Raw genomic sequence first — 15,553 nt, forward strand, 5'->3', positions numbered from 1 at the left:
GGCTATCAAATAGCTTACATGCTACAGAGAAATCTTTCATGAATGAAGAGTTGATCAATGCAGCAAACTTTATTGTTGTCTTATTTTTAAAAATTGCCATAGCCACCCCAACCTTCCGCAACCATGACCCAGATCAGTCAGCAGCCATCAACATCAAGGCAAGACCCTCCACCAACAAAAAATTATGACTTGTTGAAGGCTCAAATAATCATTAGCTTTTTTCAGCAATAAATAATTCTTTAATTAAGATAGGTATATTGGGTGTTTTTTTTTTTTAGCCATAATGCTACTGCACACTTAATAGACTACAGGATGGTGTAAATGTAACTTTTATATGCAGGGGAAAACCAAAAAACTTCATGTGACTCACTTTATTGAGATATTCACTTTATTGCAGTGGTCTGAAACTGAACCCACAATAACTACAAGGTATGCTTGTAAATACCTTATTTTTAACAAAAAGTGAAAATGATTTCCCTGTTATTTACTAACAAATAGACCAGACATTTGCATCAGACAGTGAGCATAAACTTCTCTGATCACCTCTCAAGAGACATCTCCCATTTCTCTTTTGACTCTCCTCAAGATTTCCTGTAAGACCAAACTTTATCTTCCATATGTCTCACAGGTCAGTGTTCATAATAACCATCAGTTATACAACAGCAATTTAATGAATCTCAGAGTGAAGACAAATTGCCGGTTTCTGAGTAGAGGGCCAGGATAGGTCACCTGGATACTCATTGAAACTAATGATTCTCAACTTCTCCTGCCTTCAACTCACCAGAGGAATATTAGACATCCACTTGTTAGTGGTTCTCTATGGGGGATAGTAGAGGAAAGCCAAATTTGGGCATTAATAGAACAAATCTTATGTTAAATCCTCGTATTATTTTTCTTGAGATAATATGACTACAGCTCAGATATAACCATATCCAATTTTTAACTACTTCAAACCAAGTAATTCCATATTATTCTCACTACTCCTATCTAATTGTGGTATCAATTGGCTCTAAAAATATTAAACACATATATATTACTTGAGACCTCTAGACTATAAAATACTTCAAAAGTCTAGTCCTTAAAACGTAGGGCAAAAAATACCTCAATTTTGGCCGGGCGCGGTGGCTCACGCCTGTAAACCCAGCACTTTGGGAGGCCGAGGCAGGTGGATCAGGAGGTCAGGAGTTTGAGACCATCCTGGCCAACACAGTGAAACCCCGTCTCTACTACAGATACAAAAAATTAGCCAGGCATGGTGGCAGGTGCCTGTAATCCCAGCTATTCAGGAGGCTGAGGCAGGAGAATCACTTGATCCCAGGAGATGGAGGTTGCAGTGAACCGAGATCATGCTGTTGCACTCCATCCTGGGCGACAGGGCAAGACTCCGTCTCAAAAAAAAAAAAACAAAAAAACAACCCAGCAACACACATAATTGCCTAATTCTTTTCAATTAGCAATATTTTTATGTTGCAAAACATATAGGATAAGACATACTTACTGCTTATCTGGTCCTCCACAGAAAATAATTCAGCAATATAAATACTAGATCAATATTTAACCATCAAGGAAAAGATATACTGCTACATCAGCTGATTTTTTTTCTCTTTGAATTTAATGTATTTACATCAAAAAATTAGGTAGTCATTTTACATTTAAGGAATAAAAACCTTAAAAAAAACAATACAAAGAGTGAAAGGATTTTAACCAAGTTTACATTTCTTTTTGCTATAATTTTTAACAACAATTCGTCTCATCATAACTTAATGCAATGTGCAAATGCAGCACCCATTACAATCATTAAACTAAATTTAAGGAAGTACATTGTTAATAGTGACCCTCGGAGGAAATGGATTTCTCTTCTATTAAAAACTCTATGGTATATAAGCATTACATAATAATGCTACTTAACCACCTTTTGTCTCAAGAATTATCACCAAAGTTTTCTGGAAATAAGTCCACATAAGAATTAAATATTTAAAAGGTGAAATGTTCCTTATTTTAACTTTAGCAAGATCTTTTCTTTTTCATTAAGAAACACTTTAATAATTTTAAAGCAAAAGCTGTTAGAGTCTAGATAGCTAAAACTGTACTCCTGAGTTCAAGCTTACAGATAAATCTTTTGTTAAGTAGTTCTCAATAAAATATCTTCCCTCCCCATACCCCTACCCGAAATCTTATATTGTTCTTTACAAAACTTTGGTCAAGAGTAGAAATATATCCAGGCAGATGTATATGCCATACAATAGCAAGAACAGTAAAGCCCAACTAATGATTTTGAGTTTTAAAAATAGAAGGCAATTAAAATGTACTCAAAGTTACATTAAGAAAAGCTTTCACGGGGGTAATATTGAAACAGTCACAAAGGTTAAGAAAATACTGATATCAAAGTACAAATGACTACAATGTTAAAATAGACAAAAACTGCTATACAAGAGCCTCTTTGAAAATTAAAAATAAAGAACACAACACATGAGTCAGGATGATTTTCCTGTTCTACTCATGAATTTTAGTCTTTATAAGGTTGGTTATGTTGACATCTAGAAGAGTTTCTTATCACATCTGATGGTCTCATTCCAACTTCGTAGGGTGGGTCTTCCCCAAGGAACCTCTGATCCTGGTCGCATCTTGGTCATTGTACGATTTCAAAGTAGTGCAATATCGCCATGATGTGCTGGGGCATGAAGACGTATCCTGTGTATAGTGCCATCCCCACAATGGAAACCAGCATGGAATCTGAGTTGTAGTTAAGGAAACTTATTATTATTAATTTATTCAAAACTAAATCTCCACATGTCTTCAACAACTCTTTTATGCTGAAGTACCCATTCACTTAGTGCTTTCTCATTTATATCAAGCACTGATAAAAAAAACAACAAGAATGATAATACTAGCCACTAACAACCATGCCTGGCACCACTCTAAGCTGGTTTTGTTTTATTTTGTTTTTAGCTCATTCTATCTTTACTATCACCATATAAAGTAAGTACTGTTATTCTCCCTGTGTAGTTGAAAATATCAGACTGCTTCAAATGTTTTTGTTTGTTTGTTTCTCTTTTTTTTTTTTTTTTTTTTTTGAGACAGAGTTTTGCTCTTGTTACCCAAGGCTGGAGTGTAATGGCACGATCTCGGCTCACTGCAACCTCTGCCTTCTGGGTTCAAGTGATTCTCCTGTCTTAGCCTCCTGAGTAGCTGGGATTACAGGTGCCCGCCATGACACCCAGCTAATTTTTGTATTTTTAGTAGAGACAGGGTTTCACCATGTTGGCCAGGCTGGTCTCGAACTCCTGACCTCAGGAGATCCACCCATCTCAGCCTCCCAAAGTGCTGGGATTACAGGCGTGAGCCACTGCGCCCGGCAGGACTGCTTAAAATGAAGCATAGAATGTGATACTGTTCTACCTAAGAAATAAATATACAGGAATAAAATTCTATTTAATTACTATAAAAGATCTACCAACTTAACTAATAAGAATGTATGATCAAAGAATTTTAGAATTAGACTAGAATGTGGCTAAAAGTATTTTTAGAGTCAGACAAAGCTAAAATCAATCATACACTAGCTTAGGGATGACAGCAACTGCTACTGCTATTATCACTATTAAACATTATTATCACTATTGCTACTATTTGCAACAACTTCAAATAAAGGTAATCTTGATAACCTAAACAATAACCTTTCTGTACCATGTTCCTTTCTTTTTATTACAAAAGGAACTGAAACTGTATATATGGAAGTCAACAAGAGGCCTCTCTCTGGGGCCACACAAAATACTGCTAGCAAAAATTATGTCAAATCTAAGGGCTTTTGGCTTTGCACAGTTACATAGGATGCTAAGAGGAATAACTGTTTTTGAACTGGAGTCATGCTTTATTAATTCATTCATATTCTCATTCTTCTCTCTCTCTCCTCTTTCACTTGCCTTTCCCCTTTCTCAACTCTACATACCTTTCAGCTATACATACTATTATTTTTAAAATAACTTACATTCTTTTATGAGAAGATAGGGTTTAAATAAACAATGTGCTTACTATCAACTAATATTTGTATAACAGGTTAGTTGACAAATCTCTTCCACAATTACATTATCTTACTTAACCCTTATAGCTTTCCTATGAAATGTTTATTATGTTCATCACTAATCAGAAGCTGAGAAAACTGAGTAGCTTGTTCAGGGCCATACAGGAAGCTGTCTTTAGAGCCAGAGGTCAAACCAAGACTGCCTGACTCAAGCCATAAACTCATTCTCTTCATCCAGCAAACAAGAGCAGAAAGTCTTTCACAATCTTTTTTTTACAATTTACTTTTTAACCGCCCTTAATCCAGTTATTCCTTAAACTGCCGCCTTCTATTTACTAATTTCTTTAAAAAAAAAAAAAGAGAGAAAGAAAAATATATACATTTGCTGCTTCTATATCATTGGCATATATTTGTTCATCACCAACACACCATCTGATTCTTACTCCTCCAGACTGTAGGCATTGTTCTAAGATCACTGGTGGTCTCCACCAAATCCAAAGGCTGTTTGAATTGACACTGTTTTAGTCCTTCTTCTTCAAAACCCTTTCCATTTATGCCTGTAGTGCCAGCTACTCTGGAGGCTGATGTGAGCCGGAAGGGCACCACTGCACTCCAGCCTGAGCAACAGAGCCAGACCCTGTCTCAAAAAACAAACAGAAAACAAAACAAAACAATCCTTTCCACTCTTTAAAACTCTACTCTGGGCTCAGGTATTTTCTAAGGCCCTCTTTTAATCTCTCTTACCATTTCCCTGTTTTTCACTGGCTCTTTCCTTTATGATGGATGATAGATAAGAGTGAACTTTGTGCTTTCCTTGCAAACATCCACTCTCCTCCTAGTATAGCAGCCATGCCCTTTTGGTTAGACTAACCCATCTTCATGGATAACCCCTGACTGGTCTTAACCAATTAGAGGGATCTCTTTTGCTTGGTAACAATGCCCTACATCAAAACTGATTAATCAGCTCAAAGCTTAGGACTTCAGCCAGGAATTCAGGAACATAGATGCTCTCTCCTACAATATGCAGCTTGCTGATGGAATCTTGCAATCACTGGAGTCACTTTACCTCCATGAGGAAAGCAAGATTCAGAACAAAGCTGACTCAAGAAGGTGGCAGGACAAAAATAATCACAGAAAAATGGAGTCAGAATCCTCATCAAAAAACCCTGAATCCCACCCTACCACTGGATTTTTACATACTAAACTAATAAATCCCCTTTACTTTTTTTGAGTCAAGGTCTCACTCTGTTGTCCAGGCTAGACTGCAGTTACACAATCATAGTTCACCACAGCCTCGACCTCCCAGGCTCAGGCAATCCTCCCACCACAGCCTTCCAAGTAGCTGGGACAACAAACACGCACTACCACGCCCAGCTGATTTCTTTATTATTTTTGTAGAGATGGGGTCTCCCTATGTTGCTCAGGCTGGTCTTGAACTCCTGGGGACAAGCAATCCTCCCACCTCAGCCCCCCAAAGTGCTGAGATTACAGGTGTGAGCCACCACGCCGAGCTGGCCAATCCCCTTTACTCTTAAAGTAGCTTGCTCAATTTTGTTACTTGCGGCTGAAAACGTTCCAGATGATAAAATGGAATTCCCATCGTTTTGTCTTGGGCCCCATATTCCCTCATAACTTAAACAACTACAGGTTGAGTATCCCTCATCCTAAATGCTTGAGTTGAGAAGTATTTCAAATTTCAGATTTTTTTTTTAAATTTAGAATATTTGCATTATACTTAACCCGGTGAGCACACCTAATCCAGTATCAAAAATGCTCCAACGGGCATTTCCTTTGACTGTCATGTTGTTGCTCAAAAGTTTTGGATTTTCGAGCATTTCAGACTTTTCATTTTCAGATTAGGGATGTCCATTCTGTACCTTCATGTTGTCAACCTGACCTCACCTTCCATACTGCAGACAGATATTTCTACCTACTTACGGTACATTTCCATCTATGACATTCAACAAGGTAACTTAAATTCAAACTGAACTCATTAACCTTCTCCAAAACTACCTCTTCCTACGAGTCCAATTTTGCCGATTAACACAACTATTTGCCAAGTCATCCAGTCTAGAAGGTTTTTTATTCCTTCTCCCCACATTCAAATTACCTATGACTTCTCAGTTCTTCCCCAATCCCTACAAATGACTCTTGTATCTCACCTCCCCAACCTTAATCAATGATAAATGATTAAGGCATTTATCATCCTTTACTTAGATGATAGAAAGTTCCCATCGTAGGCTTCTAGCCACTTTCCATGTCCCTCTTTACTAGAATGATCCTTTTAAAATGCATTAGGTTTCCAATGTCTATAAGACAGCACTTATAGGATTCTAAGGCAAGTATTCAAGGACTTTCCGATCTAGCCCCAAATCTTAGGATCCACAGAAGTAGATAGGGACTGAAGGATTGAGACAGGGATTCTTGTGCAAGCTATTTATTGAGGGAATTTTATTTGAAGGGGAGTGAGTACAGTAGAATAGAGCAGGGGAAATAAGCTAAGTAGGGACAGAGTCTCAGCTCCCACAGGGCACTCTGGAGCATAAATTATACCATATAGTTGGCATTGCTTTGACACAAAGGGCCTGACCTTTTGTATCTTCTTATCTGTCAATCATTGGTTATAGGGTGGGATACGGAAAATCCACCTAACCAAGAAGGCTGCTTGGCAGAGGACAATACTCTAGAGAAAGGGGGCGCTATAGGTCATTAGCAGCCAACACTCACGGAGGCTTGGGGGGTACATCAGCCATTAAAGGGGACTTAAGCTAGGTGCAGTGGCTCATGCCTGTAATTCCAGCACTTTGGGAGGCCGAGGTGGGAGGATTACTTGAACTCAGGAGTTTGAGACTAGTCTGGGCAACATAGTAAGACAATGTCTCTACCAAGAAAAAAAATAAAATTAACTTAAAATAAAAAAAAGAAAGGAGACCTAGGTGAAGACCAACCACGACTACCATGCTACTTTTCCACTGTACTTCCCAACAGTCCAAACCATTCCCTAATATACACATATCCTACTTGCAGTCATATTACAAGAGTCTCAGAAAACAACATTATATATTTCCATACTGCTCTGGCTTTGCTTATTGTTTAATGATAATATAAGAATAAGACTGGCAGCAGCAGCTTTCACTTTGTGAATGTCTAGTGTGTGTCTGGTACTAGTTAAGCACTTCATCAAGTTCCAGTAACCTCCCCAACAAACTACAGGGGCCAGTTCCAAAACAAATCAGTCCAACTCCAAGTATCTGTGTTCTTAACCACTGTACTATATACTTTCCTACATATGAAAAGCCCTACTCCCCCTAGTAAAACCTAATAATTCTAGGAGCTCAGTAGTTATCTCCTCTTGTATTAGGCCTTAGGCCTTCCCTGGCATTCATAATTTTTCCCATTCTTACCCCAACCCCTTGGCAGAACTAATTATTCCTTAATGCTCATAAAGCTCCTTTAATACTTTGTTTGAAAGTGAGTAACACAGCACTTACCACCTGACATTACCTATTTGTAGATGTACTTACTCAAATTATCAACTCCTTAAACAGAGAAATAATATTATTTTTGTATCTCCAGCATCTAACAAAAAAACATGCTAAATAGACATTTGATGAACAGAGATGTTCATGTGACTAGATTCATTATGATGCTTTCTACATATTCCTCACATTATTGTGGCTGAAAAACTTGATAATGACTACAGAAAAGACAAAAACAGTTTCCAGGCAATATTGGACTTAAGAACAAATTTTGCTTTTTCACAGCTTTTATATAAACCTTATAAATACATATACCAAACAAATGAAAATGGTATAGTAATAATCTTAAGGTCATTGGCTCAATTTCAACTCCAGTAGGAGTGATTACTATAAATCAGCTATCTGAATATGTATGTTACATAGTCTTTATGATGCTAATTCTTCAATTTAGTATGGAGAATATATCACTTAAGGAACACGCATATATTAGCCTAACGGGTTATTCCACTATAAATCAAGAATCTGAAACTTGGCTGGGCGCGGTGGCTTACACCTATAATCCCAGCACTTTGGGAGGCCGAGGCGGGTGGATCACCTGAGGTCGGGAGATCGAGACCAGCCTGGCCAACATGGTGAAACCCCATCTCTACTAAAAATACAAAATTAGCCAGGTGTGGTGGCGCATGCCTGTAATCCCAGCTACTTGGGAGGCTGAGGCAGGAGAATCGCTTGAACCCGGGAGGCGGAGGGTGTGGTGAGCCGAGATGGCGCCACTGCACTCAAGCCTGGGCAACAAGAACAAAAATCCATCTCACAAAAAAAAAAAAGTAAAAAAAGAATCTGAAACTTAAGCTCAATTTTGTGAACATTAAATTGTTAAGCTTTTAAATTTTTTACATGCCTATAAAAGCATGATTTTTTAATTCTAAGTGAAACAATAACTTATCAAAACTTGAACAAGTTTTTTGCCTGGTTAAAATACAAGATACTAGAGTTCAAGACTGTATACACACTCCAGCATGGGTAACAGAGTGAGACCCTGTCTCCCAAAAAAAGAGAATGTTGCCAGGCAAGGCAGTTGACGCCTGTAATCCCAACACTTTGGGAACTCAAAGCAGGTGGATCACTTGAGACCAGTGAGGCAGGAAAATAGGGTCTGGAGGCAGGGAACATAAGGCCGATTCACACTTCAGTTATGACAGGAAATAGCCTCCCCATAGGGTGCAGGCCAAGTAAACACTTTGTAACTTTACTTCATCCTCTCCATCTACATACGGCATACCCCAAGGAACCAATGGAATCCTCTAGAGGGTATTTAAACTCTCAAATATTCTGTAACAGGGCCTTTGAGCCCCTATGCTCAAGCCTACTCCTAAATTGTGGAGTGTACTTTCATTTTCAATAAAACCCTTCATTCCTTCCTTGCTTTGTTTATGCATTTTGACCAATTCTTTGTTCATAACGCCAAGAACCTGGACACCCTCCACAGTTAACATATTTTGGCAAGCCAGCCAGGAAGAAGAGGTAAACCTAAAGTTTGGGATTTTTTTTTCTCCTTTCTCCTTTTCTTTTCTGCTCCATACAGGGGACTCTCTCTCTCTCTCCTCTCTCTCTTTTCCTTTCCCACCCAGGACCCATGTGGGTAGCACCTAAACATGGAAGCAACTGCAGGTTTCTGGCCATGGCCAGTGAAACTAAGGGGTTTCCATGTGGAGAAGCCTAACCACCACCGCCCAGTTCGCTTAAACCTGGGTCTTTTTCCATTTTTTTTTTTCCTTTCTTTCTTTTTCAGTCTTTCAGCGGCTGTTTTTTTGTTTTTTGTTTTTGGAGACAGTCTTACTCTGTCACCCAGGCTGGAGTGCAGTGGCACAATCTCAGCTCACTGCAACCTCCGCCTCCCGGGTTCAAGCAGTTCTCCTGCCTCAGCCTCCAGAGTAGGTGGGATTACAGGCGCCCGCCACCATGCCCGGCTAATTTTTGTATTTTTAGTAGAGATGCGGCTTCACCATGTTGGCCAGGCTGGTCTCAAACTCCTGACCTCAGGCAATCCCCCCGCCTCGGCCTCCCAAAGTGCTGCCATTACAGGTGTGAGCCACCTCGTGAGGCCTCAGCATCTGTTTATAGTTGCCGTGGACTCTTTATCTTTTCCGCACACGGTCCCTGATCCCTACATGTGGCGCAGCTTGGAGCAAACTCACCCATTTTTCAGGGGAATTAAATCTTCTTTTCTTACACTAAATTTTTCCTTTATCAAACTCAACTGGCTAAGGAAAAGGCACACCCAGCATCCAGTTCTCATTACAGTTTATGGCTATTCTTCTAAAGCTCATAGTAGGCTCTGGAGGGGAAAATCTGCATGTGGCACCGGTGCCCACCTAAGGTCAGAGACATCTGGCACTCCAAGATTGGACCCCACAGGAGGTTGCTCCAGGGGTCCTGCAGACCTCAACCTGCCCAAAGGGGATGCTCCTGGCAGAGGTTCTGAGGTCTAATACTAGGCCCTCCTTAGAATTTACTCTTGCAGTTGCAATGAATGCTGTTTGGCCCCAACATTGTTTGGAATCTGGAGTTTACTGTTGAATGGGAAAGTGGAATGGTGTTACATGTATGCAGGTCTTTGTGCTGCAGTTCTAAGCAGAGGGTCTGGTTAACAGGTGACACGATCCTTTGCTACTGTTTGGCCCCAGTGCTCCTTGGAGTCTGGGGAGGTTTGGCCTTTAAAACTCAAAATGTCATGGAGACTGCTTTACCCGAAATTTTGGTTCACAGCCTTCCTTGGATTATCTCTTGGGGCAAAGTAAAACCGCCAAGCTTGTATTATTATCTCATGGCTAAGGTTCCAAGCTATTGGATCTTCCTTTGTGTGTGTGTATACATGTCTAGGGGGGTGTGTGTGTGTGTGTGTGTGTGTGTGTGAGATGGAGTTTCCCTCTAGGGGTGTGTGTGTGTTTGTGTGTGTGTTTTGAGATGGAGTTTTCCTCTCATTACCCAGCTGGAGTGCATTGGCAGTCTTAGCTCACTGCAACCTCTGCCTCCCAGGTTCAAGCGATTCTCCTGCTTCTAGGGGTGTGTGTGTGTGTGTGTGTGTGTGTGTGTGTGTGTGTTTTGAGATTGAGTTTTCCTCTAGGGGGTGTGTGTGTGTGTGTGTGTGTGTGTGTGTGTGTGTGTGTTTTGAGATGGAGTTTTCCTCTCATTACCCAGCTGGAGTGCAATGGCACAGTCTTAGCTCACTGCAACCTCTGCCTCCCAGGTTCAAGCGATTCTCCTGCTTCTAGGGGAGGGTGTGAGTGTGTGTGTGTGTGTGTGTGTGTGTGTGTGTGTGTGTGTTTTGAGATGGAGTTTTCCTCTCATTACCCAGCTGGAGTGCAATGGCACAGTCTTAGCTCACTGCAACCTCTGCCTCCCAGGTTCAAGCGATTCTCCTGCTTCTAGGGGAGGGTGTGTGTGTGTGTGTGTGTGTGTGTGTGTGTGTGTGTGTGTGTTTTGAGATGGAGTTTTCCTCTCATTACCCAGCTGGAGTGCAATGGCACAGTCTTAGCTCACTGCAACCTCTGCCTCCCAGGTTCAAGCGATTCTCCTGCTTCAGCCCCCCAAGTAGCTGGGATTACAGGTGCCCGCCACCACACCCAGGTAATTTTTGTATTTTTAGTAGAGATGGGGTTTCACCATGTTGGTCAGGCTAGTCTCCAACTCCTGACCTCAGGGGATCCACCTGCCTCGGCCTCTCAAAGTGCTGGGATTACAGATATGAGCCACTGTGCCCAGCTGAGTATACTTTCATAAATAAAATTTGAGTCATATTTTTCTCTCTCTCTGCCTAATTTCTCCAAAATTTGCAAACTATTTGTGAATATTCTTAATTCATGGTAATGTGTTTGGTTGCATACAGTCAAACAGGGTTGCTAGGGCCGCTCAGGGATAGAGAACCCAGCAACCTGGCATGCCAGCAAAAGGGTAAGAATTTCTTACTGGTCTCTGGCCCGCTTTCTCCCTGTGCAAAATGGTTAGTCTCCTCTGTAAAGTTTTAAATTAATTGGTTTAATAATAATAAGAGCCTAAATCAAATATTTTGTCAGAAAAGTAGAAAGTGTAATGCCTTTTAGTTCATGTGACTTTAGCAATCTTTGGGAAATAAAGACAGTTTTAAAGATTATTAGTAAAAATGTCTTCAAAATGTAAACATTTGGTCTAAATTATGTTCAAATATTAGGTTTGCTAAATGCTTTAAGGTCATAAACTGCTTCCTTGGCTTTTGAAAATTGTTTAACTTGCCTGCCTTCCAGCTAGGTAAGACCAAGGGACATGTAGCATTGGCCACACCCCTAGCTATGCTAGAAACAGTCAAACCTTATCAGAATATAACTTACCACGTTTTACATTAAAGTTAAAACTGCTAAGAGTCAGGCCAGGCGCGGTGGCTCACACCTGTAATCCCAGCACTTTGGGAGGCCGACGTGGGTGGATCCCGAGGTCAACAGTTCAAGACCATCCTGGCCAACATAGTGAAACCCTGTCTCTACTGAAAATACAAAAATTAGCTGGGCGTGGTGGCAGGCACCTGTAACCCCAGCTACCTGGGAGGCTGAGGCAGGAAAATCGTTTGAACCCAGGAGGTGGAGGTTGCAGTGAGTCGAGATCGCACCATTGTACTCCAGCCTGGGCCACAGGGCAAGACTCTGCCTCAAAAAAAAAAAAAATTGCTAAGAGTCGTCATTGTAACATGCAATTAAGACTACCAGAAACAGGTCAGGCACGATGGCTCATGCCTGTAATCCCAACACTTTGAGAGAACAAGGAGGGCGAATCTGAGGTCAGGAGTTCGAGACCAGCCTGGCCAACATGGTGAAACCCCGTCTCAGCTAAAACTATAAAAGTTAGCCAGGCGTGGTGGTGGGCGCCTGTAATCCCAGCTACTTGGGAGGCTGAGGCATGAGAATCACTCAAACTGGGAGCAGAGGTTGCAGTAAGCCAAGATCACACCGTTGCACCCCAGCCTGGGCAACAGAGCCAGGCTCCATCTAAAAAAAAAATTTTAAAAAGACTACTAAAAACAGTTTTACACGCAAGGTGTCTAAAAATAGTAGAAAAAACTTTTTTTTTCTTTTTGGTAAAAGGTTATAATAAAAAGGTTTTTGCTTCTTTAAAATTTCTAGGCCAGGCACAGGGGCTCATGCCTGTAATCCCAACACTCTGGGAGGCCAAAGCAGGTGGATCACCTGAGGTCAGGAGTTGGAGACCAGCCTGGCCAACATGGCCAAACCCTGTCTATGAAACATACAAAAACTAGCCGAGCGTGGTGGCATGCACCTGTAATCCCAGCTACTCAGGAGGCTGAGGCAGGAGAATTGCTTAAACCTGGGTGGCAGATGTTGCAGTGAACCGAGATCACACCACTGCACTCCAGCCTGGGCGACAGAGCAAGACTCTGTCTCAAAAAAATAAATAAATAAAATAAAATAAAATTTCTGAGTCATCATTTTGGCAAAACGTATAATATATGGTAATCTGGAATTCCAAAATCAAACTTCAGTTTCAAAATTGTCTTTCCTAATGCCTGGCTCTCTGGATGTATCAGAGGGTCCCTGAAAACATCCAGAAAAGAGGTAAACAGGATTATTTGACATGTTTACATACACGGGATTGCCAAAACGATGTTCAGTCTTCTTTAGGTTACATTTTTGTGAATAATACTAATGTATATTCCAAAATTGTATGGGATTTCTAAAATTCTAATGTCTAAGTATACGCTATCAACTATAATTATGCTTATTATGTTGTCATTGTAAACCACAGAAATAACCAAATCAAACCAGTTGATACTAAAATTGTTTAAAATAGTTTATAACCAATGCTTGGTCCCATATTACTGGGAAGACAATTAAAGCTTCACGTACATTTGGTCACCTGGTGGGCCATTTAAATATTTTACAAAGCGATTTCATTCCACTGATATCTGGTTGTATAAAAGCTTTCCCATGCAAGAGGGCTGATGTTGTAACAGTAGATTACTACACTACAGTGTATTTTCACCAGGTAAAAAAAGCTTTTTATCGTTTGAATCTTCTGAGAACATCAGAGAAAGACTGTCCTCCCCATCCACACTACAACAAAACTTTGGGACCTTGGGCTTTGGGTTCATGGTCTCACAACTGAGAGGGGTCCCTGCACACTTCTGGAACTGCATCCATTGGAACCTTTGAGATAAAGCCAACCAGGGAAATTTCTCCCAAGAAGATAGCATCCTTGATGTGAACAGCTTTTCCAAGTTCACAGGTTAAGACTTTACTATCATGAAACTCTTATCTTTGAATATTTTTTTCTTGCCTACATCTCTACAAACAATAGAAGTGGAAAAGGGGTCTGTTATGTGGATTTATGGAGTGTACTTTTATTTATGAAGGGGTCTGCAGCCAGCCTTCTACCTGGGTAATCTTATACTTTGACAGATAAAAAATGAAGGCCCAATGTAGGTAAGAAACCTTAATGGTATATACATTGCCTCATAATCAGTCAAAAATAAAACACTGGTTCACTCCTCTTAACCCACATCATGGGTTAAAGAGAACATTGCCAGGAGGCCTTCCCTCTTCTAGAAGGGCATCAGTTATTTGGCTCTTTTTCCATGGTTTAAAGTGAAAGAAGCAATGATTAGAAATGTATCCCTCATGATAGGCTCTCTAGCACATTCTACTTTAAAGGCTATCATCACACAACAGATTTTAAATTCTCTTGTGAAAGTTATGCTAAATAATAGAATTGGCTAAACAGACATGTATCTGTGCAGCTGCTGGCACCTGTGGCCTATCGAGAAATACATAGAATGCAGGTTATAAAAATTCAGTTGTAGGGGATTAATGAAAAGACCACTTACTCAGCTGGGCGCAGTGGCTCACACCTGTAATCACAGCACTTTGAGAGGCCGAGGCAGGTGGATTACCTGAGGTCAGGAGTTCGAGACCAGCCTGGCCAACATAGTGAAACCGCGTCTCTACTAAAAATACAAAAATTAGCCGGCCGTGGTGGCAGGCACCTGTAATCCCAGCTACTCTGGAGGCTGAGGCAGGAGAATCGCTTAAATCTGTGAGGTGGAGGTTTCAGTGAGCCAAGATTGTGCCATGGCACTCCAGTCTAGGTGACAGAGCGAGACTCCATCTCTTAAAAAAAAAAAAAAAAAAAAAAAAAGACCATTTGGTCAAGCAAGCAGACACTTCATCCAGATCATTCTTTAATCTACATAATTTTAGGTGGTTTGGTATGGTGACCCGGGTAAGGAGCATACTCCGAACTCTTGGTATTATCCTCCCAACAGTCATAATAATCGTCTCCCTGGAGTGCTGTATTCTCTCAAAGGTTTTAAATGCTTCCATGCAGCCATCTCTAGAATGTCATATGATTGCTCTTCAACTGGAATGACAAGAGCTGAAGGAAATGTGCAACCATGAGGACTTAACCTATAAATGATGTGCTGAGACTGGAAACGAAAATGATGGTAACTGAGAGTGGTGCTATGGCCCTAAGTTTTGCTCATACTCTCACCTAAGTAAGAACCTGAACAAAAAGGGGGAATTTTTTCAACAAAATTCTGGAAGCCCATTGTTTTGGACTAAGTTCATGCACTGGGCCCCAACAGACCAAACCAAACCAAAACGGGGTTGTTTGTGCTAAGACTTTAGGGAAACACATGGGTTCTAGAACAGACAAGGTTTTGTTTTTTCTTCTGCAAATCTCTGTAACAAACATTTCTGACAGCATAGGTATCCACCTCTGAAGTTCCCATTAAATCTTTTAACCAAATTCATTCCCTCTCGCCTAGAAACCATCAAGCTTCAGATGATCATGCAACAAAGGTTCCAGCCAATTCCAGGTGAAGACACCACCCCTGGCCATCAAGAAGCTACCCTGCTGGCAGGGCATGGTGGTTCACGCATGTAATCCCAGCACTTTGGGAAGCTGAGGTGGGCAGATCACTTGAGGTCAGGAGTTCAAGACCAGCCTGGCCAACATGGTGAAATCCCATCTCTACTAAAAATACAAAAATTAGCTGGGCATGGTGGTG

The 15,553-nt window shown here is 40.8% G+C and overlaps 1 protein-coding gene across 1 annotated transcript in view; it reads right to left on the bottom strand.

Annotated features, from left to right (window-relative positions):
* Positions 1-216: 216 nt before the first annotated feature.
* SPTSSA (serine palmitoyltransferase small subunit A) overlaps positions 217-15,553 on the bottom strand; it is a 29,453-nt gene continuing 14,116 nt past the window's right edge. The window contains exon 2 of the mRNA NM_138288.4: positions 217-2,733. Coding sequence (NP_612145.2) covers positions 2,630-2,733 — 104 coding nt within the window. The 3' untranslated portion in view covers positions 217-2,629. The remainder of the gene's footprint in view (positions 2,734-15,553) is intronic.

This window comes from Homo sapiens, chromosome 14 (assembly GCF_000001405.40).
Source record: "Homo sapiens chromosome 14, GRCh38.p14 Primary Assembly".
NCBI lineage: Eukaryota > Metazoa > Chordata > Mammalia > Primates > Hominidae > Homo > Homo sapiens.